Here is a 27,445-nt window from a genome sequence, read left to right on the forward strand (position 1 = left end):
CCAAATATTTAAAATAATGTCAGGAGAAATGGTGTTAGATCTTCTTCGTAAATTTGGTCAATTTGTCAGTGAAGCAATCCAGTCTCAAACTTTTCTTTGTTGGGAGACTTTTTATTGTTGATGTAATCTTATTACTCATTGTTGATAAGTTCAGGTTTTCTATTTCTTCCTAATTCAATATTGGCAGATTATATTTTTCCAGGAACTTGTTCATTTTTTCTAGGCTTTCAAATTAGTTAGTGTAGGGTTATTCGTAATCGTCTCTGGTGATCTCTTGTATTTCAGTGCTATCAGTTGTAATGTCTCCATTTTTCTGATTTATTTGGGTCCTCTTTCTTTTTATCTTCATTAGTCTAGTGAGCAGTTTATAAATTTTATCTTTTTTTGGAAAACAACTTTTTGTTTTGTTGACCCTTTGTATTATTATTTTCAGCCTGTATTTTGTTTAGTTCCACTTTGATTTTTTATTATTTCTTTCCTTTTGCTAATTTTGGTTTGGTGTGTTCTTGCTTTTAAAATTTATTGAGGTGTATCATTAGATTGTTTATTTGAAATCTTTCTACTTTTTAATGTAGGCGTTTATTGCTAAAAACTTTCCTCTTAGTATTGTTTTTTTTCTGAATACCATAGTTTTTGGTATGTTATGTTTCAATTTTCATTTGTTTCAATACATTTTTTGATTCCTCTCTTAATTATATTCTTGACCCAATGGTCATTTAGAAGCATGTTGTTTAATTTCCAAATATTAATATAGTTTTCAAAGTTCTTGTTATTTTTTATTCCACTGTGTTCTGAGAAGATACTTGGTATATTTTGATTATTAAAAAAATTGAGACTTGTTTTATGTCCTACAATATGGTCTATTCTTGAGAAAGTTCTATGTGCTGATCAGAAGAATGTGTGTTCTACTCCTGTTGGATGAAATGTTAGGTAAAAGTATTTTATGTTTATTGGGTTTAAAGTGCAATTTAAAGGCAATGTTTCTTTTTTGATGTTTTTGTCAAGATGATCTGTCCAATGCTGACAATGGGGTACTGAAGTCCCCCAAATATTACATTATTGCAGTCTATTTGTCCTTATTGATCTAATAATATTTGTTTTATATGTCTGGGTGCTCCAGTGTTTGCTGTGCATATATTTACAGTTGTTATATTCTTTTGCTGAATTTATTCCTTTATAATTGTATAATAACCTTGTCTCTGCTGTTTTTGATTAAAATTCAACTTTATTTGATATAACTGTAGCTACTCCTGCTCATTTTTTTGCTTCCATTTGCATGGAATATCTTTTTCCATCCCTTTACATTCAATCTATATGTTTCTTTACAGGTGAGATGTGTTCCTTGTAGGCAGCATATGGTTGAGACTTTGTAATTTTTAAAATTCATGTCTTTTTGTTTGTTTGTTTTAGATTCTTGCTCTGTTGCCCAGTTTGGACTGCAGTGGCACGATCTCTGCTCACTGCAAATTCCACCTCCAAGGTTCAAGCTTTTCTCCCACCTCTGCCTCCTGAGTAGCTGGGACTACAGGCACGCACCACCACATCCGGCTAATTTTTGTATTTTTGATTGAGACCAGATTTTACTATGTTGGCCAGGCTGGTTTTGAACTCCTGACCTCAAGTAATCTGCCCGCCTCAGCCTCCCAAAGTGCAGGGATTACAGGCATGAGCCAGCATGCTGCCCCCATCCCTGCCTTTTTTTAACTATTAAGCCAGTCTATATCATTGAACTACAAAATTTAATCAATTTACATTCAACTTTATTTTTATATGTGAGGGCTTAGTCACATATAATTCACCACACATACATGCAGGTGGTGGTGAAGTCTTGCTGGGGACAGGGCCATCAGGTGGGCCAGTCTTTGGCCCCCATTGGCGGCAGTGCAGGTCAATTATGTCTTTCCCTAATTTTCAGGGCTGCATACACTAGCACTGGTGTCAGCAGGTCTATGTAAGCAGGTCTATGCAATTCTGTTGTCCCTGTGTGGCTTGCTTGGGTGTTGGCAGTGACAGTGATGAACTGGGTGGGTGAGTGGGTCCTCTGGCTCCAAGGCAGTGGGTTTGGTGGTAATAGTAGTGGAGGGTCAATCCTCTGACTCTCAAGCCATCTGTACTGGTGTTGGTGGTGGCTGTGACAGGCTGCAATGGCCAGTCTCTAGGCTTGCAGTTGGTGCATACATGCGGGTACTAGCTGTGGTGGTAGCATAGGTTGAGTGGACTCATTTTCAAGCCCCTGGAAATAGTGCTCAGCTGCTAATAGTGTAGGTGGGGCAGGATGATACACAGGCCCTTGAAGGGTGTGCTTGTGCACTCAGGAGGGTAGAGCTACATCACATGGGCCTTCCCTCAGCCCCCCGGTAGTGTTTACAGTCACTGGCTGTGGTATACAGGGGTGGAGTGATCCCCAAACCCCCAACAGAATGTTTAGATGAAGGTGGCAGAAGCTGCACTTGCAGCACTGCTGTGGGGTTGGGGTGGGGAAGCAGAGGTTACTTTCAGTTTTAGTACACACGAGCAGATAGCTGAGGAATGCAAGTTTCAGCCCTAGGTGACAGCTATAAACCGGGCAGCCTTTCTTCGGGGTGCTTTTAAGCGTGTGGCGACCCTGCTGCTAAAGGTTGCTGGGTCACTGTCAGTGCCTCATGCTTTGGTCCTAGCAACAGTAGCCACCAGTGGTGCCTGGCTGCAGGTGGGGGAGGTCAGTGGCGTTCTAGGAATCTGGAGAGGCAGAAGTTGGACTCTAGGGCAGGATGCAAACTGGTGGGGACTGGGCTCTCAAAATAGCACTCTGCTGTGGCTGCTTAGGCTTCAGTGTGGGTATGGCACCCATTCTTAACTCCCTTCCCAGAGCAATGCTCTTGCCATCCCCATGCAGCTTCCTATGATAGTTTCAGTGCCCATATGGGTTGAAGGACTCTACCATGGCTAAGATTTCAGGAATCTGCTGTGGAAATGTGGACCACTGGGGAGCATTTGCTTACTCTTTCTCCAGACTAAGGAGCCTCTGCATACTCCTTGCCAATTGTAGCCAAGCGGGCTGCCTCGCTTTGGTCTCCTTTCTTGCCTTAGGTGTTTTCTGTCACATCTCTGTTGAATTCCAGCATTTTTTCTTAGGTGATCTATTCAAAGTGTCATTATCTACTCCTTATTTTGTGAAGGAGGTGAGTACCGGATGCTTTCCATCAGCCATTTTGAAGGCGCCCCTTCATCTCTTTATTCACTGATCAGGTACAAAGACCCTTGAAAAATGAATGGGTTAAGGGCATCAACACCCCACACAATTGAAAAACCATACGTGATTTTTGGCTACTCCAAAAATTAACTAATATCCTTCCCTTAACTAGAAGTCTTACTGATAATATATTCAATTAACATATAATCATTCTGTATGTTACATGTATTGTACAATATAGTTTTACAACAAAGCAAGCTAGAAAAAATGTTATTAAGAAAATCACAAGGAAAAGAAAACATATTTATTGTGTATTAAGTGGAAGTGGATCATCATAAAGAACTTCATCCTCATCCTCTTTAAGTATGCCAAGGAGGAGGAAGAAGAACAGGGGTTGGTCTTGCTGTCTCAGTGGTGGTAGAAGCAGAAGAAAATCCACATATAAGTGGATGCACAAAGCCCAAACTTGTGTTTTTTAACAGTCAGCTGTATTTTTTCTAAAAACGCTTCTCAGGCTATCCAAACCTAAATAAACATGTATTTATTTTAACTACTGTAGAAACTATTGCCATGCAATCATTTAGCAATTACTCATACAATGTCTTATATTAGTTTCTGTTTTATGTGAGCAGCTATTTAGATCTACTTTTGTTTAATTTTCTGAAATTATTTAATAGAAGATTTTATACTATTGGCATATAGTAGGCATTTAAAAAATAGCTGACTTATTGCAGAATCTTCTATTTTAAATTTTATTTATATTTTTTGATTTTTTTTTTACTATAGAATATAGTTTCCTGCATATTCATTACAAAAACATGAGGTATGATAAAAGAGCAAAGTGTTATATTTAAAATTAATCCTTCAAACAATGAATCAAGTGTAACAATATTTCCCTAGGTCAGAAACTTTAAAATACTTAATTTTATAAGTTAAAAAGAATGTTTTGGTAAATACTGCAAAATACTTTTAAAATTAGAGCTGTATATTTTTAAACATCTTTTTTTCAAAAAAGTAATTATACATATTTTGAGTAATGCTCAGTCATAGCACAGAATATAAAACATAATTTTTATATGACACTCTGATTTATGAGAGCACAAATTACTTTTTAGCATTAAGCCAGTGCAATCATGTGGGTCACCTTCCAAATATAAAGAAATAGGGGGAAAGGAAAGTGGGCAACTTAGTAGGCTATGAATAAGGTCTAAAAGAGTGTGTTCTTATATTTATGTTACAAAAATAAAGTGTGTCCTTTTTGAAAACAAATCTTAAATATATTTTCAGGCAGATTCTACATATTGTTCTGCTGCAAAAAATGTTGTTTTAACATGTTTCCCCTAAACTGCATGACTTAGAACTAAACATAAAAATGGTATTTGGTTGCTGTTCCAAATGTTATGCAAAAAAAAAAAAAAATCAATTTGATGGGAAAACTAGACAAATTAGTCAGTGGGAATTAGGTTTATTAAGAAATTTCACCTAATTTTTGTTGCTTTTAATAGTTGCAGTTTTAACTGAGTGTGAAGAAAAGTTGCCAAGATGACATATGTCACATGTTTCTTCAATTCATACATCCTCAGGCACTAGCCAAAAGCCACTGTATGTGTGTTTTTTTCAAAACCCACGTATGAAACAACAGAAATTCCTTTAATAAATAATGATTGTTATCTACTATGTATCAGCCAATGTGCTAAGCATTGGAACCCTCAAGAACGTCATGATCTGCAAGGAACATATAAGAGACACAAATCCAGAAAAATTAAAATTAAAATAAAAACGCATGGCAGTGATAGCAACAGGCACAGTGGATTGTCGTCAGGAAGGACGTGGGGTCAAAAGAAGATTTCAGAAGGAAATAATAACTGACCACAGTTTTAGAAAATGGGAGCGAGCCTGGAAAGGAGTGGACAGGTGTTTATGCAGACAGAGTTGCACATAGGTAGAGGCATGGGAAGAGAGGAATGACCAGATGGTAAAATATATCCTATATACAGAGGAGCATGTAAATTATCTTCACAGTTGAAAAGAGTTATTTTTTAAAATAAACTCTTCTATAACCATTCTTCACCATTTTTAGAGTAAAAAATTGTTGATTTAAAAATGTGAGGAAACACAGACTTCTACATAATTGTGTACTTTGTTTCACCTAAATGCAGGTGACAGATAGACCTCAGTGAGGTGGCTTTCTTTTTAATACAGAATTTTTATAGATCAGTTTTAGATAATGGCCACAGGAGTCATTAAGAGCCGGAAAATGGTAAGAAGAGACAACACTAGCTTAAAGTGAATGCAAACACATACTCTTTGAGATTTTGCCAGATACGAGTCAAAAATACCTTTTGAGGAAGAAGTTCTAAGAAAGTAAAACATAAGCAAGAATATCTTTTTTAAGGGGATATTTGGAAGCATATTGAGCAAGTTATTGCCAACTAAAACATATCCAAAGATACTGGATATTGTCCTTGATAAATGTTCTAGAAACTTTTAGGACTGAGAAATACTAGGGTAAGCAATGAAGAAAGAGTTGGAGAGAAAAAATTTAATGGTCATTTTGTTTGAGATGAGAATGAATTTTCTCGTCTGTCTCTCTGTTTCTGAGCACGCTATGACTGTATGCAAGATTTTCCTACTTAACTTCACAGTTTTCCTTCTATTTTATTGTTAACACTTCCATTCTCACTAATGTGGTTGGTAAAATAAGTACTTTAATTATTTGCTTGCACATTCAATATTAAAATACCATGCTGTCTTCAGTTTATTATGAGTTCAATTTTCAAGACACTATAAAAATAATATAACAATCCATTAAAAGGGTATTCTAAAATATTTTGTCATTAGGTTATTATTTTATTATCTTCAAGTAAACAAGAAATACATGAGTAACCCTCAGCATATTATAAAAATGTGCCAATAAATTTAAAGAAAATTTATAAACATAGGAATTCTAATAATTTTTCTATATACATGAAGGTGATTATTCCAAATTCCATTAGATTTTCTAAAGTATTATATATTTTGTTATTTTTAAATTCTCTATAAACATAATTGTGAAGCCACTTTAATCAAATAATTAGAAACAATAATTTGCAAGCTTGCAAAAGAACACATTACATATACATCTTTTAAACAATTAAAATCTAAAGAGTGATTCCTGATAAAGTAAATTTAGTGTAAACAGAAATGCAAATAAATAAAACTTTCATTTCTATATTCGAATTGCAAAAAAATTTGCAATAATGAATATGCTATTTTTCTTGCTTGTAAATTATGGTCAAAAGATGTCTGCTGAATCCATCACAATAGTATCCTAATTTCTCAACTAGAAGAAATTTTAGCAATAAAAATTAAGTTTAGAATGATACCAAAGCTTAGATTCTTCAATACAAAGAAAAAAAAATAGTCTCAAATCAATCCTTGTTTTACAGATGAGGAAAAATTGGATCCAAAAATATTAAGTGATTTGTTCAGTTATCCAGGTAGGAATTTCAGGATCAAAACAGGAATTGGGTTTGTTATGTCAAATCCTATGCTAAAGCCTGTAAATAAGCTTCTTCCAGGTCATTAAGTCACCTCTATGAAAGTATTTATCTCAGTAGTTCATATGATGACGATCCTTTTTAAATGTAATCAACTAAGGTAGTACTCCCTAAGGATAGGGTTAAACACAGCAGGTTCTCAGGACAGGCTGCTGATAAATAGACAGAGATCTAAGTGTGTAGTAAGGAAGAACAGTCTATGACTGAGTTAGTTAATGGACGAAGTATAATCCATAGGAATTTTTTATATGCCTTTGAATTACATAATTTATTAACAAAACACTAAACAAAACATAAACCTCTCTGAAGCTACAAATGTCACATGACTGAAATCCTGGCATATTTTGCTAAATAGAATACAGTAAACAATCAACACTGATTTTGATAAAATGTTTCGAGGTTTTTCAATGAAACAAATTCTTTGAACAGAGTGAAAATTAATTTTTACAGATTATATCAATACAAATGTTACATAAAACAATTTCTTAAAAGGAATAAAAACTAAGTTCTACAGATTATATAAATACGTCCAACCTCTTTTACATGGAAAACAGTATGAAATTTAGCCTATTCTGATATGTTTTCACAATTTTATATAATCTACAACTTATTCTCCTAAACTTTTTTTTAATGTTAGACTTTTAATTGGGCTACTTACAACAAAGAACAAAATGTTTTATCATACATTTTTCCAAGTATTTTATATAAGTGTAATTAAGTTTCATCATGCAGGTTCAAGTCGCATTGCCACGATTAAGTGGCTGTGAACTATTGATTTGACTTATTTAACATTTCAGTAACGACTAATGCCAGTGATTATTGCACTGTATGGAAGTTGCAAAAAATAATTATAATATTCAACGTTTATTTTACTTGAAACTTAAAACTTTATTTAAGAACATGACCAGCCATCTTAATTTACCTTCTAACTAAATCATTGTTTGAGTTGTATATGTTTGGAAAATTTATGTAACATTTTTAAGCCTTAATATCACTATTTATAAAATTCCGATTACAATTCTTACTTGCAAGATCCCTATACATATTACAGATTATGCATGTAAAGCAACTAATAAAGTGTTTGGCACCCAAATCTTAATTCACTTGCATTTAATCATGCTGGACCTATACAGACCTTTAAACAGTACAGCAATTATAATCATATTATATTTTTTTCTGAAATATATCTTATTTATACATATTTATTCAGATAAGCAAAACATAATTAGCAGAAATAAAAATCAGTGTCATTTATTATCATTTTTGCATTGCCTCTGAGGGCAAGAGATTTCTATTAGAAAACTGGTATCTGTGATATTTATGGACATAGCTGCAGGTAAAGATGATGATGATGATTGTGCAGGAATGCCATATGAATTATTTCAAAAGTGGTAATAAACTTATATTGATCCATTTTTACATAAACTGTCAACAAATTCCCCCAAGGCCAGGCCTTAACCCATTATATATATATAATGAAAGTGTTAAAGCTTGTAGCATAGGTCCTGGAAGTGCCCTATAAATGTAATCACTATGCATATTGGATGTAATCACTATGCATATGATATATATACATATATGCATATATATATGCATAGTGATTACATATATATATATATATGCATAGTGATTACATTTATAGGGCACTTCCAGGACCTATGCTACAAGCTTTAACACTTTCATTCATAATAAGTTACATGGTCTTTTTATAACACTATGATAAGGCTATTTTCTCTACTTAATAAATGAAATACTTAAGTGCCTGACTGAAGATTACACACATAGCATAACCAGATTGCAAATATAGGGAGTCTGAATCCACAAGGCATACACTCAAGGCCCCTCATGCTGCCTGATGTTGCTGCTGTAGAAAGGACACAGATAAATAGAAAGTACCATGACTGACTGTTGTCTAGAGTTCTTTATCTCTGTATTTTGAAATCAACAGATTATCTAATGGATTAAGATAACATAATCATTTTCTTTCAGATGAACAGCTGTGATCAATTTAGCAGGTGGTAACTTTTTTTCCCCAGTGAAATGGGAAAATGTTAGGGTACATTACAGGTAATAAGGTAAATTATTTGATAAAATTTTCATTTCAGTTGCATATATGCATGTATGTATACTGGATCATTATATAAAAGGTGTTTCTTTTAGGTTATAATCCAAAGAAGTTTTGAAAGCTGAGTTTTTTTAAAAGGGTGATCAGAAATTTGGAGGAAAGACAGAATTGTTTGTTCATAACATGTACTTTCAATTTTGTGGTTATGTTTCAACTCTTTACACTATTTACCTTCAGACTTCTAGAAACCTTTTCTACACTCCAGGTTCTTTTTGTGGTCATCTGTTATTCTGTGGTCATCTATGAATGAACAAGCATACAGGCCCATCATGGGGTCAAACCTGTAATCCTGATTCCATCATCACTCTTCTCTCCTATCTTCAATTTGTCATCAATTTCTAAAGATATATTAGATTTGCATTCTTCTTTCCAGTATCAAATTTTCATTAATTTATTTCAGACACCATTTCTCTTTCCTTAATTTCTGTTCCAACTTCCTTCTTTGCCTCCAGCCTATCTTGTTTAATCCATTCTCCTTAGTGCTACTGAGGGAGCCTCCTAATCCATAAATAGGATCATGTTACCTCCCTGATAATTTATTTACATCTTTCTCATTAAGCTGACAATAAGGTGAGGCTCTTCATGGTTCAGCTGTAACTTACTCCAGCCTTATCTCTCAGAACTCATGACTTAAATACTACAAAATAGTTCATGCAAAAATCTGAAATTTTCTCAGAGTACTTTCTGCTCCATTTTTCTGAAAATGTTCTCCCTTTTCCTTTCCTCACACATACTCCTCTTTGGCCAATTCCTACATATCCTTTAGTCCTCATATGATAAGCCATTGCTCAGGAAGCCCTCCTGGATCCTTTATTTCTTGGTTGGGCATCCCTATTAGTGTTCTTTTTATTTTTATTACTGTTCCTATAACAACACTCATCATGATGTGCTAGAATTGCATCTCTACGCATCTGCGTCCATCACCAAACAGTAAATTCTTTGAGATCAGTGAGTATGTGTTTTGCACACAGAGTATGGCATAGGGCCTGTTGTGTACTACATTCTTATAAAGCATGTGTGTTGAATGAATGAACGAATATATTTTTTAACTTTTATTTTTTCTTCTTGAGACAGAGTCTCACTCTATCACCCAGGCTGATGTGCAGGGATGCAATCTTGGCTCACTGCAGCCTTCGACTTCTGGGTTCAACAATTCTCACGCCTGAGCCTCCCCAGTAGCTGGGATTACAGGCGTGTGCCAACACGTTCAACTAATTTATGTATTAATATATTTTAGTAGAGACAGGCTGTTCTCAAACTCCTGAGCTCAAGAGATCTGCCCACCTTGTCCTCCCAAAGTGCTGGGATTACAGGCATGAGCTACTGCACTCAGCCAAATAAACAAATAATTTTTCTTTTTAAAATGAAATACTTACTTGGCAGAGACCACCTACTGTTACGCAATCATTCTATAGTCTTTAAAATCTAACACTAATTTCAGGTATCAAAATTTATATTTTTAAATGTTTATATATTTATTGTCATGTGAGATTTTATGGTGGTCAAGTTCAAAGGGCCCAAATATCTAGTCGCCCTAATAATATTTTCAGTGTTTTTCAAAAGCTTACAGATTTTGATCATTTACTAATGACACTCCACTGCTCACTCAAAGCTACACTGACTAGCACAAATATCCTGCTTCTTTGCTTAGAGTGAGGCTGCTAGTTGGCGCATTTTGATGAGAAATTCCAATCGGCAGGCATATGCAGATTTGGATATTTTTTAAAAAATGAAATAAGACATTTTAAAAGTAACAGGTTTACAGAGAAAAAGTTTACTAAAACAGGTCCTAAGGAAAAAGACTTTGAAACCAGTTACCTAGCAAACTATAAAAGCTAAATGCCCCAAATTGTAATGATAGCCAGTTGCACCAAAATTCAATGTTATTCATATTTTATTTTTCAAGATAAAAAAGTTACTATGTATTGCCAAGTTTGAAACTGAATGCTCTATCTCATTCCTTTAAGCCAAATCTTTACAAGAAAAGGATTTCTACTTCAAAAGAAAGTGACACAATACTCATAATTAACATAAAAATAAGCATTTGCCTAATTTCAGGAGAGTACATTAAGTCATTAGTATAAGTGGTGTTTTGCTTTGCACTCTCTTTACATTATTCCATCTCTTTCCATCTGGGAGCAAACTTAACAAGCAATTTAAAAATAATTGGTGAATTAAATTGTCATTGGTGGCCTCATTTTCCTTTTTCGCGTATGTCTTCAACAGACTTACTCTAGCAGTACCATTAATACAGCTGCGGTAAAAAAAATCTGTGCAAATGGCATGTTATAAAATTAAATGGTAACATATTGTGTTGCTTGGGATCACAGTCAAGTCTAGAGGCAAAATAGAAATAACAGATGCAATACAAATGTAGAGTTATTATGTGTGTCATACTGGAATCTAGCCTCACAAAATTAGCACAATATGCTCTACCTGAGGATAAGCTAGGGAAAAGAAAAAAAAAAAAAAGAAAGAAAGAAGGAAGATTGTGCCAGCAACATAAATGGAGACATAGAAACATTTTAATCTTAATATGGTAATACGTTTTGAAAAGAAATTGTACATAGATTTTTTATTTAAAATTTCAGACCAAGAGAAATGCCTTCTATATTAATATAGTTCTCCAAAATGTTTTTTGGATCATGAAATTTCTGACATTCCTTTTGAATTTAGTGAATTTACTAGTTTGAATGGTCCTAATTAAATTCTTCCCTAAAGCTATTTACAGAGGTACCTCCTGATTTTATTAGTCCTTTAGTGATGCTGCATGTCTGGTTTGGAGAGTAACTTCCAGCAAATGAATAGTATTTATGCTTAAAACTTAAATGTGTGTGTGTAACATATTGAATACGTAATTTAATATAATATCTTTAATACTATGCTTTACTAATTATCTAATTTATGTGTGATACATCATATCATCATATAGCTGCCTGGGTTTGTTTTGAATTGTAATCCAAAATTAATTATCTCAATTATAATAACTTTTATCTTTACATTAAAAAGTAAAAGATCCCTTTTCCTCATCCTCATAGAAAAAAATAAGAATGTTAAAAAGAATCAAAACTATGTTTTTTGGTGAAATTACTGGCTCCATTTATTTGCCCTCCCGCTACTTATGCTTTTTTCCATATAACTTTGCAGTTCCTTCTCTAAAAATTCCCTCTACTTACCCGTTTCTGAACAAAAATATCTCACTTCTCACAGAAAAAAATGAGGGATTTGAAAAAATAATACTGTTAAATTATATAAACATATAGTAAGCATTTTCTTACAACTGTGAGTGTAAATGATGTCACATTGCATTTACTATCCACCATTCACTACCTCACTTCACCGCCTCAGCTACCACAACTCTCAGAATAAGTACCCATCTCCAGAAAAAACTCTTGAGTCTGTTTTTAGTGATTTGATTTAGATGAGTGTTAAATTATTTGCCTCGAAATATAATTATGACTCACTAGAGTTGAAAATAAAAATTACTATTATAATGAGTTCTATGAGCTAGATGAACAAGTCTACACACCATTTGTAAAGTACAGTGGTTTTGCTAGCTAGTTGGTAGAATCACGATCAAGTGATGCCATCTTGGCCAGCCATCAGCAAACTGTAATAGCTGATACTGATAATTATGAATAACAGCAAACTTGAAAATAATTACATAATTAAATACTTATTTGTGTAATGAGCTGCTTTTAGAATCTATGCCAGTGGGTCAAGTAAGAAGAAGTAATTGGATCAGTAGGAGACATTTAGTAGTTAAGAGACTTGCTTGTGCACACCTAAAAACTCAATGGAGGTTAAGTAGCATATCACTGCCAAAGAGATTCTCTAGCACTGGTGGGCCTCAGCAAAACCGTAAGTGGCCTTGTGAGACTGTGGGACTTTAGCACATTACTGCAATAGACTCATAATCTTATCTAAATCAAAGACTCTGAAAAAAAGTGTTATTTGCTACTTAAAATGCAAACCATTCTACTTCAAAATATATAGAGGAGAAAGAGGACTTGTCCCAAGATAAAATGTGTCACATTTGACAACTATCAACCTTATCAGAGTCTAAAACTTATATGAATACATGCTGAAAGTGGATGCTCTTAGTTGTATTTATCCCCATTATTAAACCTAAATAGAGAAGATCAAAGCCAAGGACTGGAATTTTGAATTATTAGTAGCTACAAATTTCTTTCTTAAAGCTTTCTGGGGCAAGTGATTGTCAACTTCATAGAGTAGAAAATCAAATTAAAATGGAATAAATATTATTATTCTGAAGACAAGTGTTCCTTTTTTCATAGAAACATTAAAAGTATTTGCTAAGTATGATAAAACACGTATTTCTAGAAAACAGCAGATATAAGACAGTGATTTTCATTTTTTTCTATCGACAGTATAAACATTAGTATAGAAGTATGAGAGCCCGTATTGCTGATGTTTGGAGACTAACATTCCTTGCAAAGAGATGTCTATGTCCTTTCCAACTCTAATAATCTGTGATTCTATAATTTGATATTAAGCGAAGATTTTAGTAACACCTAATTTCTGAATTGAAAAGAATTTTTAAAATTCTCACCCACTTACTCAATACTTGATTTTCTTCTATATGAATAGCACAGTCATATAGTTCATGCTTGAGCCAAATTTATATTAGCCTAAATACATTTTTGATGAAATATTTTTGTTTCACAAAAATTCTTATATTACAAAATTTTCTCTAATATATATATGCTTACTGCATTTTAAATCGGTCTGGCGCTACTGGAAATTGCTTCATATTAAATTATAAGAAATTTAATAATCAATAATAAGTATTTGGCTGGGTTAACCATATTTCTTACATAACAAATGCTGATAAATATATGTGTGTGTGTGTGTTTGTGTACATACTCTTGTCAAATTCTAATTAACAAAAATGTTTAAAATATGTTGATAAATGCAAATAAACATTCACAATATTATTATGATTTCATACATGTTTTGCATCAAAAATGGCAACTTGCTATTATATTAATAGCTACATTTTAATTGGGGTCTCACTAATCTAGAGGCTACTCTAATAGCTTCCATGTATTGAATGCTTCCTTTGTCTGGAAAGATAGACTTTTATATGTTAACATTGGTAATTTCTGGGTGATGGGACTGCACATCATTTTATCTTGTAATTCTTGATTTTGATATTTCTACAATGAACAAACATTAAAAACACGATTTTAAGATGTTATAAAATATATATTATCCTATTTCTCTTTTATTTTTATTTTTCAATAGTTTTTAATTTTTATACAAGCTTTGGTCAGTGAGTAATGGTACTTCCACAGAGTACATAAGATTTCAATGTCCAAAGCAAGTCAGTCTGTATTGCATATATTCAGAGCTCCATCAAGTAAAATTCAATGTTAATACAGAGGTAAGTGTTAACAGAGAGGAACAATGAAAAATCCTATTTAGGACCTGACTTCAAATCTCATAAGGGATCAGAAATACCACTGTACTGCTGAAAGTGTTTTCCTAGGAAAAACAGTTTTCATAGCATAGCTCGCTGAGAACTAACTGATTTTTGGCAATTAGATCACCCATTTTTGAGTTAAAAAAAGATAACAATTGAATATCATTTGAACTTCTAATACCTATTAAGAAAAAAGTTATTTAAAAATGTTTGGAATTTTTGGTTGGAAATCTATGCAGTTTTGAAATTAAAATATCGATTGTGAGAATAGTCTCATTCAAAGTTGAAATACACTCTTCAGTAACAAAATAATACTGAAAAGGGTGAGTGCAATGACAAGAACATCATATGAACAGATATTATATTCTGGAAAAAGTATAAAAGCAGATTCAAGTGATAGAGATTGATATCCCAATTAAATTAAAAGAATGCCCAGAAAATCAGCATAATTTTCAATAAAAATGATACTTTATTATGAGTAGGTAAGTAGAGAGTGTATTTATTTAGATGCTCCCCACTGGTGTCCTTGTGAAAATGGATGTCAATTGTGTCAATAATAAGCAATGCTACTTGCACCTCAATTTCTCAGAAGGTGTTCAGGAAAAGAAGGTACCAGGTACCTTAGCAGGCAATGGGAATGAGGTTGGGATATTTGAAAAATAAAAAAGGGAAAGATTAACTGAAACACTTGTAAGGAGATTTAGATCTCCAAAATTCTTCTTTAACTCACAATCAATTGACTTCAGATTTGCCTATGCCCATATATCACCCCTCACACATCAAGATTAGAAGCAAGCACATATAGCAGTGGCGAGGTAGTGAATAGAACAAAGTAGCCATTTGTAGCCCAGAATCAGAAATGTAGGAAGTGATCCAGAGAATAGAGCTTGCATACTGACTGCAGGGGGACTATGCAAGGAGTAAAATATTAATTTCTAGGCAGGTACCAGAATCTAAACAATGATAAGCAGGTATATATCTACCAGCTATCAGAAACAAACATGGCAGAGATTCAAAGTAGAGAGTCAGGCAGACTAATAAAAGATAACAGTAGTCAAACAGTATAGAAACAATGTAATGATCACAAATGATTCTGTTTCTGCCATCCTTCTTCTAAAATTCTATATGTGACAGAAAGTCTAAAATGAAACAAAATAATATGGAAATTATAATTAAAAATTATTCTTGACTGAGTTACAGTCAACATGAACATAGGGATATGGACAACAGCAACATTAGAGGGGTCATATTTGCAGGGTCTTTCTGGAGTCAAGTGAATTTGGAATTACAACATGGTATGTGTTTAATGCTCAGCAATTATGTTATGAGCAAACAACAAGTTATATTGGTGTGGGATTTTGAGCAAAATTGCTTTATTTATTTTATTTATTTTATGAAGGGAGAGGACCAAATTTTAAATTTCAGTTGAGGCTTTCCATTTGCAGAAATGGTAGATTTTCATTTTAGGAATCTTCCATTAGATAATGTCAGCTCCTAATACTTCTCATTCTCTTGTAATTTCTTTTTTTATTAAATTGAGATTCTCAGTGAGGTCATAGTGTAATGGAGAAAAAATAGGTCTGCGAGAAAATTGTGATGTCTTTACCAACAGAAGGTGATAGGATCGCAGGTGATAAAAACAAATGAAATAAAAGAAACAGAAAACCTAAAGAAATCAATCCTATACTTTGTCCACTCCATTTTTTTTCTCCTTTATTTCTTCCACTTTTTCTTTTGAAAGGTACCCTTTTAGTTCCAAAAATGTAGAGAAGAGTATATTCATTATTTTAGTTTTTGTTTTCTTTCAATTGCTTTAAAATATTTTTCTATTTGATCCTAACATTCACCCTATCAAAAAGATATTTTGAATGTTTTGACAAATAAGGGTGATGATGTTCAGATTTCAGTGATGCACTTAGTAATTAGCAGAGCCTGTATCCAAACTTGAGTTTGACACATTTTTAATACCTATGCTATTCCTTACAAGCTATGTTAGGTTATAGATGATTTTTCCCACTGTCCAAAACTAATTTTTTATGTCCTTCATAATCTTCAGAAATGTGTTTTGCCACTTTAAGGAGGAAAAATTGTCTGTAAAATCCAAAACAGCAATTTTGCTGTTGCAATGGAACCCAACGAGTGATGCCAGCCCACTGAATTGAACAGAAAGACAGTGATGATTCTTTGTGAAGAGAAAAAATATACATACACCTCTATAATGTGAACAGAGCATAATAAGTGGCATTTTTGCAATTTGGCTGCTTGACATCCTGTGTGAAGTTCTGAATATCCTTTTTTTGAGCATAAAGCAAGGACATGGCTTTTTTTCCCCTTCATGCACTCAAGGGACTCACTCAAACACCTAATAATGCTGTTCAACCTTTAATACATTCATAATGGAATTCCCCAGTTAGCGTGTTTTCACTTGCCTGGGTAGAGGCACCAGCTACAACCTCTTCAAATACTTAAAAGAAAATACTGTTCACATTAATTGTAAGAATCTTCAAAAGAATGCTAGAATACCTCAAATGGAAAATTCACAAGTAGTAGCAGACAAGAAGACATAGAGCATAGGAGTGAATAGTAGCTATAAATCAGATACAAGCCACATTAATGAATTGAGATAAGAAGTGTGAAATAAAATCGATCCCCGCTCATCAGAGAAGGAGGAGAGGGTTATTTTTAATCTTGGGATGAATTTAAAATCAATAAAAAAGTATAATAGTCTCATAAACAGAAATCGAACGACAATGCAAGGAGTTGGAAAAAAATTAAAAACAAAGGGAAAAAAGTACACCAATTTACTTCAACAGTTACAAGAAGCCTTGTTTGATAGTGTTAACTGTATTCATAATGAACATGTGTATAGAGCCTTTTAAAACATCCCATCAAGCACTGCACAGCTGAATGTGACCACTCAAATAATATTTGGTGAACATAAAGAAGAATGCCCATAAATAATAATCTTCCAAGTCAAACATCTTAGATCTAAAAGTTAAGGCTACAGGAAGAGTGAGAACTCTTTGTGTGAAGACACTCATAATTAACAATATATAAGCAACTACATAAGGCTGAAATAGGCAGGGATTGTGAAATTCCACAATATGAGAACACTTATTTTCTTCTTTTCCTCTCATAAATTTTGTTCAGAATACCAATTTGGGGAATCAAGCAGAAGTAATCCCTGCTAATAGTGCTGACACTATGTCAAAAGTTTTGAGCAATAAAAAAAAATCTCCGACTTTCTATATACCAGAAACTTTCATTTTACCCTAGAAAATCAAAGGACCCCTTTAACTAAAAATGTGTTTCTAGAAAAGTGTTCCAAAATACGTCATATGGGGATCTAGCTCCTCAGCCAAGCAATTGAGCCTCTTTTCCTTTTGTAAGCAGCATATCAAAGTAAGGCCAAAGTTGGATACTAAGAAAAGAATGGAGTTACTTATATTTAATATTTAGGATACAAAATAAGAGCAAAGTATAATTGCATAATGCTTGCTACATTTCAAATTTGTCTCCTTCTGGAAGGACCTTCATCTCTGCTCCCTGAAAGCCAAAAACAACAGGCTACTATTTTTGTTTTTCATGAAGCTAGATATTAGCCAGTTGCTAGACTTCAACTGTGATATATTCATGAGAAGACACAAGCTGGAGAATTTCAGCCTAGTCTAAGCAGGACAGATGGAGTTGCTTTTTACCTTTATACAGATCACGAGTTTTTAGCCATTTATTTTTCAAAAGTCTAGCCTTCAGCAGGGAGCATCCATATGCGTGTGTGCAATTCACATTGAGTTCTGAAACAAGACTTCTGGTTTATCCATAAATCTGGCAAAATAAATTCTCGAGGCATAGCCTGGCAACAAAGAACTTGAATAAATTCTTTAAAGCTCTTTTGTAGTGAAATAATATTAGAAGTTGGGGCAAAGACAAAGCCATGAGAGGTGTTGATCTCTAACAGTTTTATGAAAAGATGTTTAAGTAACTTTTCAGTGGCATCAATTTAAAAATCTAGTCAATGATGTAACGTTGAGGATGGAGTTTGCTGACTTTTATCTTCCATGAGCAGTCAGACTAACCAGGTGTTAGTAATTTGAATCTAAGCAATAAAGACTGTGAAGCCACATTGATATAGTTACCATAAATGGGAATCAGTGAGTCCCACCAGCGTCACAGAGAACAATTCAGTCAGTAGCTTGGGCAGGGCCCTGCTAGTCATTAACAACTCCATTAAGCTAAGACAGAAACTGGAAGCATTGCCCAGAGAGGTAATCAGAAGCACTATGCTCCCAAGACTTTCCTTAACAGGTGCTCATTTTCATCCTGGTAAGATTTAGAACTAAGCATATACATATTTAAGAGAATCATATTAGAGTATGGATATTTGAAATCTATCAATATTTACTATTTTATATTCTTAAAATATTTCAGATAATTTGCCTTTTTGAATCACATTTGTACTTATGATGTATAATTAAGTAATTTACATACAGTTATATTAAACTTAGATCTATTAATTTCACATAGTAGAGGCTACTAGTTATTCCCAAATATGTTCATTCTTCCTTTCTTTCTTCCTTTCCCTTCCTTCCTTCCTTTCTTTTCTTTCTTTCTTTTTAAAATACTGCTCCTTCCTGTACACTGATTTTTTTTCCTTTCTTGTTAGCAGTAAAAATCTTGATTTTTTTTGTAAGTCTAAAAGACTGTAAAACCTTCCATTCTCTGCTCAGTTATTTGTGATGTTAGGACTGAGTTCTAACTACTTAAATGTATTTATAGTGCTATATAAAACTTCCAGAAAGCATCTTTGGGGGAACAGGGGCTTGCCCTTTTCTTCTTCTCTCCATTCTCTTTCTTGGGACTCTACTTTAATGATTCCAGTTTAAGCAGCCATTATAGACCATGAGATTAAGGATTAGACCGTGGCCATGGAATAATGTTGATCTGGGAGGAAGGTGAGTTAATGAGGTCTTCAGAGAGCTGCAGTACTAGCTGCTGGTTTCATATATCTAGACTTCTTTCATAAAACGCAAACTGCCATTCATACTTGTCATTATTATATATTTGGGAGGTTCTATATTTCAAGAAGCTAAGCCATATAATAAATAGTTTGTATTTAAAAAGTCAGAGTATTTTAAAAGGATATATGCATAATGGAATACTATTCAGCCATAAAAAGGAAGGAAATGATTTCTTTGCAGCAACATGGAAGGAACTACAGGCCATAATCTTAAGTGAAACAACTAAAACACAGAAAGACAAATATCACATGTTTTCACTTAAAAATGGGAGCTAAATAATGTGTACACATGGACGTAAAGTGTGGAATGATTGAAAATGGAGACTCAGAAGGGTGAAGAATGGGATTGGGGTTCACCATGGGAAATTAATTAATGTATACAAGTGTGTGTTATTCTGGTGACGGATACACTAAAAGCCCTGACTTCACCACTACCCAATGTGTTCATGTAGCAAAATTACACTGTTGTCACATAAATTTATACAAATAAAAATAAATCACTAAAATTACAACTTTTCCCTTATTAGCTTTATGAGGTTTATTTAAGTACTCATGAGTGGTGTCTTTCAGTCAAAATAACTACAAAGGAAATTTTCTATCTAGATTTATATAACTGATATAAAATATCTCTATAGATCTATCCGTACATCAATATCTATCAATTACTTCTAAAGGTTATTAACTATACAGTTTTCTAAAAGGATCCACACATTAATCAAGTCCCCTTCTCCTCTTAAAGTCATAGTCAAAAGTTGTTAGAAGTTGCTATAAATATAAGTAAATAATATGGTTTTGTAGGCTAAACCCAGATAGTAAAGGAACTAAACTAATATTGTAATGTCCTAGCCTTTCATTTTAAACAAACAATAAAAATGCATATATACACAAAACTGTTTTCTTATGCAAAATGCTGATAAGCATTTTTTCTAAAATAAATCAAGGTCACGTGATCAAAGTGAAGCTTTTGACAAATTAGACTAGTTTGATAACCTGGGTTTTAAAGAAACTGTATCCTTTTTCCTTGATTTTAGAAGAGAACAGCAAAAGATAATTATAAATTTTATTTTAAAATATAATGTGTATTTTTCTCACTAAAAGACGAGTTAATATGAAATTCCTAAACTTTTCATACTGTTTTACTATTGAGCTAACATTACTTTCACATATAAGTAAAATAAATTTAAAACTATGTTTTCAATCAAATTAGATTATAATTTTAAGAAACATTTTTATAGTAATGGAATATAGTTTTGAACTTATATTAAACCCAAATTAATTGGATACTTGGATTATTTTTAACTAAAGTAGAATATTAAAATATTGGTTACCAGCGTAATTTTGACATACATTCCTTTGATTCTTATTTTTACATGTTATAGAGTAGCAATAACTTAGGGCCGTGTTTGAAAATGTCTTAATGTTTGCCTTTTTAAGGTATGGTAAAAAAAAAAATGTGTATGGCCGTCAGATATCATACTATATGTATTCATTAGCATAGCTGTAGTGTTAGACAAATCTAAACCCCATTTCACTCCATGATGTAGAAGTTAAATACTAAAAATTATGTTAATATGGGTAATTTAAAATATACTAGAATCAGTACTGGCAGATAAGAAGAATTGTGTATGAAAAGAAAGATAATGCACTTTTGTTTATTAAGGGAAAATGAGAGCAGTTTTATCCTAAAGTGAAGTATCAGTTATTTTCAGATGTGAAATAGAATAGTAAATGATAAAACCTAAGCAAATACAGGAAGTCATAGTTTTTGGAAACGAGAATTTAATTATCTTAGATTATAATATCAAAAAATAAGGAATCTCAAAAAATGTAGTAGAATATGTTAAAATTTTCCCAAGAGTAGGTTAGTTTTCATGGTTGGTCAGTTAATACTGAAAGCATAAAGAAGCTTGTGAATCTTTTACTGCCAAATATTAACAGCGCAAAATTAGACTATTTCTATTGAAATAATAAATTAATCTTGAATTACTTAGTCTGATTTTAACAATATATAATAATTATTTTCCTTCCATGTAACCTTCTGACATGAATGGCTCACCAGAGTTGTTTCCTGTGTGTTGTGCTGAATTTATTATGCCCTGGATCAATCAATTCTGAAGGAGCTAAGATACCATTAAATTGGGTTAATACTTTCTGTTTATTTAAAATATTGTATTTTCCCTTGATTAACTTGTATTCAAGCCATGACCTTTTATTGTTCTCAAATACTGATATTAATATTCTAATCAAGTGAATAGATCCCTCTGATAACTCTTGACATTTTCTTCTCAAAATTAATTCCTAAATTTAGAAAAATACAATTTAGTGTGCCTTTTATACCTAATACTATCTTCGTGATATCTCAGATGATCACAGAAAAATCACAAATGTTTGTCTTTTACTCTATAAAAAAGAGTAATGCTGAAAATAATTATAGTTGTTGGATATGCTCCTCATTTCTTACATAGCTCAACACTATGATGAGAGCTACAAGAGGAGTTGTTAAACAAAAGCCTTCTCTAAGATAGTTTTGTTCAGGAAAAACATATATTGATAATTCTCTGGAGTGTAGAGTCTCTGAAATACATACATCATACACACATACAGGCATACATTAGAGAGAAGAGAGAGATGTACATATACATATTCTGGAGACTACATTCTGGAGATTTATAAATATCCTTATACTTATTTTTAACCTCAGAACATAATTACTAAATACCCTTATGACTAAATATATATTATACCTTAATAGATCTTACTATTCTTTATCCTTATGTGTTGGTCCTCTAATAAATTTGCCATAGCCATTTAATTCTGTCTTTGCCAGGTTAAGATTTGCTTGCTTGCTTGCTTGCTTGCTTGATTTCAACTGTCCTGTCTTCAATTTCAAATGAGGAAAATAATATCCACAAGTGCACCTAGGTAAAATGTTTAGTTCAATAACTGGCATGTGATCAGAATTAAATTATAAATCTGATCCTAAAATGAAAACTCAAAATGAGAAAGCATTAGGATTATATTTCTGCTTCTCTGACATGAACACTTTATAATTAATTGAAGAGAAATGTTGAGTGGCTAACAGCCAGAGGAACAAGCATGGCTGTCAATGCATCTTGACTTTCTAATTCCTCATACAGGAACTTTAAAAGTTAGCATATGGCTGAGCATGGTGGCTCATGCCTATAATCCCAGCACTTTGGGAGGCTGAGGCGGGCGAATCACGAGGTCAGGAGATCGAGACCATCCTGGCTAACACGGTGAAACTCTGTCTCTATTAAAAACACAAAAAATTAGATGGGCGTGGTGGCGGGTGCCTGTAGTCCCAACTACTCGGGAGGCTGAGGCAGGAGAATGGCATGAACCCGGGAGGCAGAGCTTGCAGTGAGCTGAGATCACGCCACTGCACTCCAGCCTGGGTGACAGAGCAAGACTATGTCTCAAAAATAAATAAATAAATAATAAATAACTAATAAATAAATAAATAATGTCTCAAAAATAAATAATTTTTTAATAAAAAAATTTTTAAAAAAGTTATCATATGATATGTCCTCAAGTTTATGTTGAAAATGTAAATCACAGGTTTTTAAACTTTGCCACGTAACAGAATCAGCTGTATAACTTTAAAAACACACATATGCCATCCCACCCGATCCGCTGAATCAGAATGTCTGAAGTAGAGTATTTTACAAATCTTCATCAAAAATATCAATGACTAGTAAAAGTCAAAATACTGATCATATTAACTGAATATTTCATATGTAGGGCTTTTTGTCAATTTACTATTTTTTACCTGAAATAAATGATTTTGTGAAGATATAAAATTAGGAGAGACCATTTTACATAGGTGTATTCCAAAAATATCACCTTTCCTTAAGTCAGATACTGAAGTAATGCTCCAAAACCCAACAATTACATGTTACTCCAGATGCATTAGCTTTAATGGCATTGGGTGGTGGTTTAATTTTTAGCCCACCCTGGCCAGGGATATTTCCTTAGTGACAGCAGTATGGTCTGCAGCAAATGTGAACTTTAGGAAATGCACTAACGTATAAGGGAAAGGCAGCTATCAGCATTCAGTCTTCTCTGAAGGTAAGTATAGCAAATTAAGAGAGATGTAGTAGAAATGCAGTAGCAGTTAAGGGATCAATTCAAAGTTATCAGAAAAGGGTATCTTGTAGGACAAGTTCAAAGCTGAAGATTGAATTTTAAATGTTATTGTGTGTTACATGCAAGTCTCTTCTCATATTTTAAATTTCTTAACAAAATCCACTAACAAAGTATTATCCCTATGATGTCTCAAAAAAAAAAAGAAAGAAAAGTTAAAAAAAAAAAAGAAATGAAACTCCAAGAAATATGATCAAATTCACACAGTTAACAACTGGAAAATTCTGAATGTAAAGATAGCTTTTTCAAGTATCTAAGTTCTTTCTTCAACAGTCCACATAGTTTTAAGAAACCAAAACTACATTACCTTGTAACTTCCCAGGTTAGGTTTATAGAGTAGATGATTAGAAAGTAATAAGTTCTTAAGAGGTTAAGAAGAGAAATTTAACTTATTCCTTTGATATTGCTAGGGAAGAAATAAAGAAAGCAGTGGGGACAATTTCTTGTAGTTGGAACCCCTTATATCATTTTTTATTTTTCATTTTTAAGAGCAATACAGAGAAGATTCATCAATCTATGTTCAGGTAGTAATTGCTTTTTACTACTTTAAGCTCATCTGTAAAAATCAAAGTGAAACTGACTAGGTTTTACGATATTTTCTGAAAAGTCAAAATTCTGGTCTTTGCTATCCCTTTTAGGAATATATGGTAAAAGTTTCCCTATTTGCTCATTACTGATTCATCTGCATAATGAAGAGTTAAAATCTTATTGAGAAATGCCTTGCAATCAGTTGAGAATCTAATTGTACCTGTTTGGAAAGGTTAGTTACAAAAGCACCCACGGTGATCCAAACTTATATTACACATCCTCTGATTATCACATTTAAAGTAATATGTCATTTGTTATTCATATTTAGTGTTACAACTCTTTAATAACCACTCAATCTATTTCCCTTTAAAAGGACAGCTGCAATAACAGCAAAATTGTAAACCTTAAGTGTAGCGTAAGAATTCAAGGTGAAACACATTCCAAGTAGTAGCTTAAAATGTCAGTATCATACATGGCTCCCTGAATAAAAGAGGCAAGACGTGTCAACCTGAACAGACATTCATCTCTTTGCACTAAAGTGAGAGATACAAAGACCTGTACCACTCCCAGTAGAGAGATGTGCTGAGACATTCAAGAGTCAAAGACGCTCAGCTGTCTGAGGCAAATACTGTGAGTCTTCAGGTCTCTGTAAATTGTTCTACAGCTGTGAAGGATTCAAAGTAAAATTTCAGAATGATCATAAATGAATAAAATGTGGTGGATTATAGTAGTTACTGTCTTTGGCTGTCCGTAATTTATTATGTTGCTACTTCTTGTAACTGTACAGTAGTTCTCCTTTATTCAAGTGCTTGCTTTCCATGGTTTCAGTTGCCTACACTCAACTGTGTTCCAAAATTATTAAATGGATAATTCTAGAAATAAACAAGTCATAAGTTTCAAATTGTGTGCCATTCTGAGTAGCATGATAAAATCTGTTACACCTCTCCATTCCTTTTTTATCACAAGAATAAGGATGAGTACAGTACTATAAGGTATTTTAAGAGACAGACTACATTCACATAACTTTTATTACAGTGTATTGTTATAACTGTTCAATCTTATTATTAGGGTTGTTAATCTCTTACTGCCTTTAATTTATAAATTAAACTTTATCCCAGTGTACTAGTCTGTTTTCATGCTGCTGATAAAGACATACCTGAGACTGGGCGATTCACAAAAGACAGAAGTTTAATGGACTTACAGTTCCACATGGCTGGAGAGGCCTCACAATAATGGTGGAAGGCAAGGAGGAGCAAGACATGTCTTACATAGATGGCAGCAGGCAAAGAGAGAGAATTTGTGCAGAGAACTCCTCTTTATAAAACCATCAAATTTTGTGAGACTTATTCACTGTCACTAGAACAGCACCAGAAAGACTTGCCCTCATGATTCAATTACCTCCCACTGGGTCCCTCCCTCAATACATGGGAATTCAAGATGAGATTTAGGTGGGAACACAGTCAACCATATCACACAGTTATATAAGTATAGGAAAAATGTAGTATAAATAGGGTTCAGTATTATCCATGGTCTTAGGCATCCACTGGGGGTCTTGGGATATATTGTCTGTGGATAAGAGGGGACTAATGTATTTTCATTTCTCTGGGGGTGGGGGCAAACAAAACTCATAGAATGGATAGATTATGGTGCCTCCTACACCTACCCAACCAAGTGAAACCAGCATTTTACATCAGAGTACCTTATTTTCACTGAACACAGATATTGGCATATTGTATCCTGTCACCCCTGCATAGAATTTTCTAAATTAGAAGAGATGGATACATCTATTTTGCTCTTTGATTGTGAACTTTAAAGTGTATGTTTGGAGAGAACCACTCTAAAGAGAAAACATCTAGAGTGGGAGATGACAATCTTAAACTTCACCCAAATCCAGTGACCCTGAAAAAAAAAATGAAGGTTAAGAAACTCCCCCACCCGACTGTAAACTAGTTCAGCCATTGTGGAAGTCAGTGTGGCGATTCCTCAGGGATCTAGAACTAGAAATACCATTTGACCCAGCCATCCCATTACTGGGTATATAGCAAAGGACTAGAAATCATGCTGCTACAAAGACACATGCACACGTATTTTTATTGCGGCACTATTCACAATAGCAAAGATTTGGAACCAATCCAAATATCCAACAATGATAGACTGGATTAAGAAAATGTGGCACATATACACCATGGAATACTATACAGCCATAAAAAATGATGAGTTCATGTCCTTTGTAGGGACATGGATGAAATCGGAAATCATCATTCTCAGTAAACTATCGCAAGGACAAAAAACCAAACACTGCATGTTCTCACTCATAGGTGGGAATTGAACAATGAGAACACATGGACACAGGAAGGGGAACATCACACTCTGGGGATTGTTGTGGGGTAGGGGGAGGGGGGAGGGATAGCATTAGGAGATATACCTAATGCTAAATGACGAGTTAATGGGTGCAGCACACCAGCATGGCACATGTATACATATGTAACTAACCTGCACATTGTGCACATGTACCCTAAAAGTATAATAATAAAATAATAATAATAAAAAGAAACTCCCCCACCCTTTTGTATTCCAGAGAATGGCTTACTGCAAAGAATCACCCTTTCCCATACAACTTAGATAAGACCCACAGATGGATCCCTTTTTTATCTATGAAAAGATCAGACACAGATCCTCCAAATTCACATTGTTGCCTCATAAATGATTGGCTAAACTGTTTTTTCTCCACTGATTAACTGGAACAAAATAGATTTTAACCAATTTCGGTTAAGTTTCTCTCTTTCTGCCACATCTCTAAACTTTGACCCATCTTCAGCCTGAATCAGTGTAGCAATTCTCCGGAGATTAGGTAGGCCGCAGAGTAAAACTTTCTCTGCTCTATGATGCAGCCAATCATGCCACCCTTTCATGCCACATATAACCTTACCTACTTCTCCCTAGAAAAGACATACCCTTTTTGCCTAACCCTTGTGAGGCTGGCAGATATTATGGTCATAGTTTTTTTCTCTATTTTAATAGTCCCTTTCTTCACCTCACAATAATTCTTTTGAATAGGGTCTCTCTTTGCTAAATCCAGATTCCTCTTTTTGACTTTGAAAATGAAGGCCACAGCCAAGGAAAGTCAGAGGCAAGGAAGGACAAGAAGTAAAAGAGGATGTCTTGGTGGGGTTGAATCCATTGCTCAATTCTGGAGGCCCTACTTTATGCAGCCCTACAGTTGTCTAACCCACAACCTTTGACTTTAGCATGGAGTTCATGCTCTGATAGCTTTCAACTAAAGCAGCCATTCTCTCCTCTCCCCAGCTCTTTTCTTTCTCTGTTGATACAGATAATATTTTGTATTTGAGGGTCTGAAACTTTTCAAAATTCAAATGTCATGGATTGAAACTACTGTCCTTGCACAGAGTGTGAGAATCAGGTGGTGTGGGGGGAAGTGCTAATAATGGTCTAT

General features: G+C 33.7%; 1 protein-coding gene and 1 long non-coding RNA gene across 21 annotated transcripts in view; one reads left to right on the forward strand and one right to left on the reverse strand.

The window, feature by feature from the left end:
- The window catches only part of PCDH15 (protocadherin related 15), a 1,825,172-nt gene that overhangs the window by 664,941 nt on the left and 1,132,786 nt on the right, over positions 1 to 27,445 (reverse strand). The window lies entirely within an intron of this gene.
- LOC105378311 (uncharacterized) overlaps positions 18,519 to 27,445 on the forward strand; it is a 169,822-nt gene continuing 160,895 nt past the window's right edge. The window contains exon 1 of the long non-coding RNA NR_134503.1: positions 18,519 to 18,605. This is a non-coding gene — a long non-coding RNA (uncharacterized LOC105378311). The remainder of the gene's footprint in view (positions 18,606 to 27,445) is intronic.

This window comes from Homo sapiens, chromosome 10, assembly GCF_000001405.40.
Source record: "Homo sapiens chromosome 10, GRCh38.p14 Primary Assembly".
Classification (NCBI taxonomy): Eukaryota; Metazoa; Chordata; class Mammalia; order Primates; family Hominidae; genus Homo; species Homo sapiens.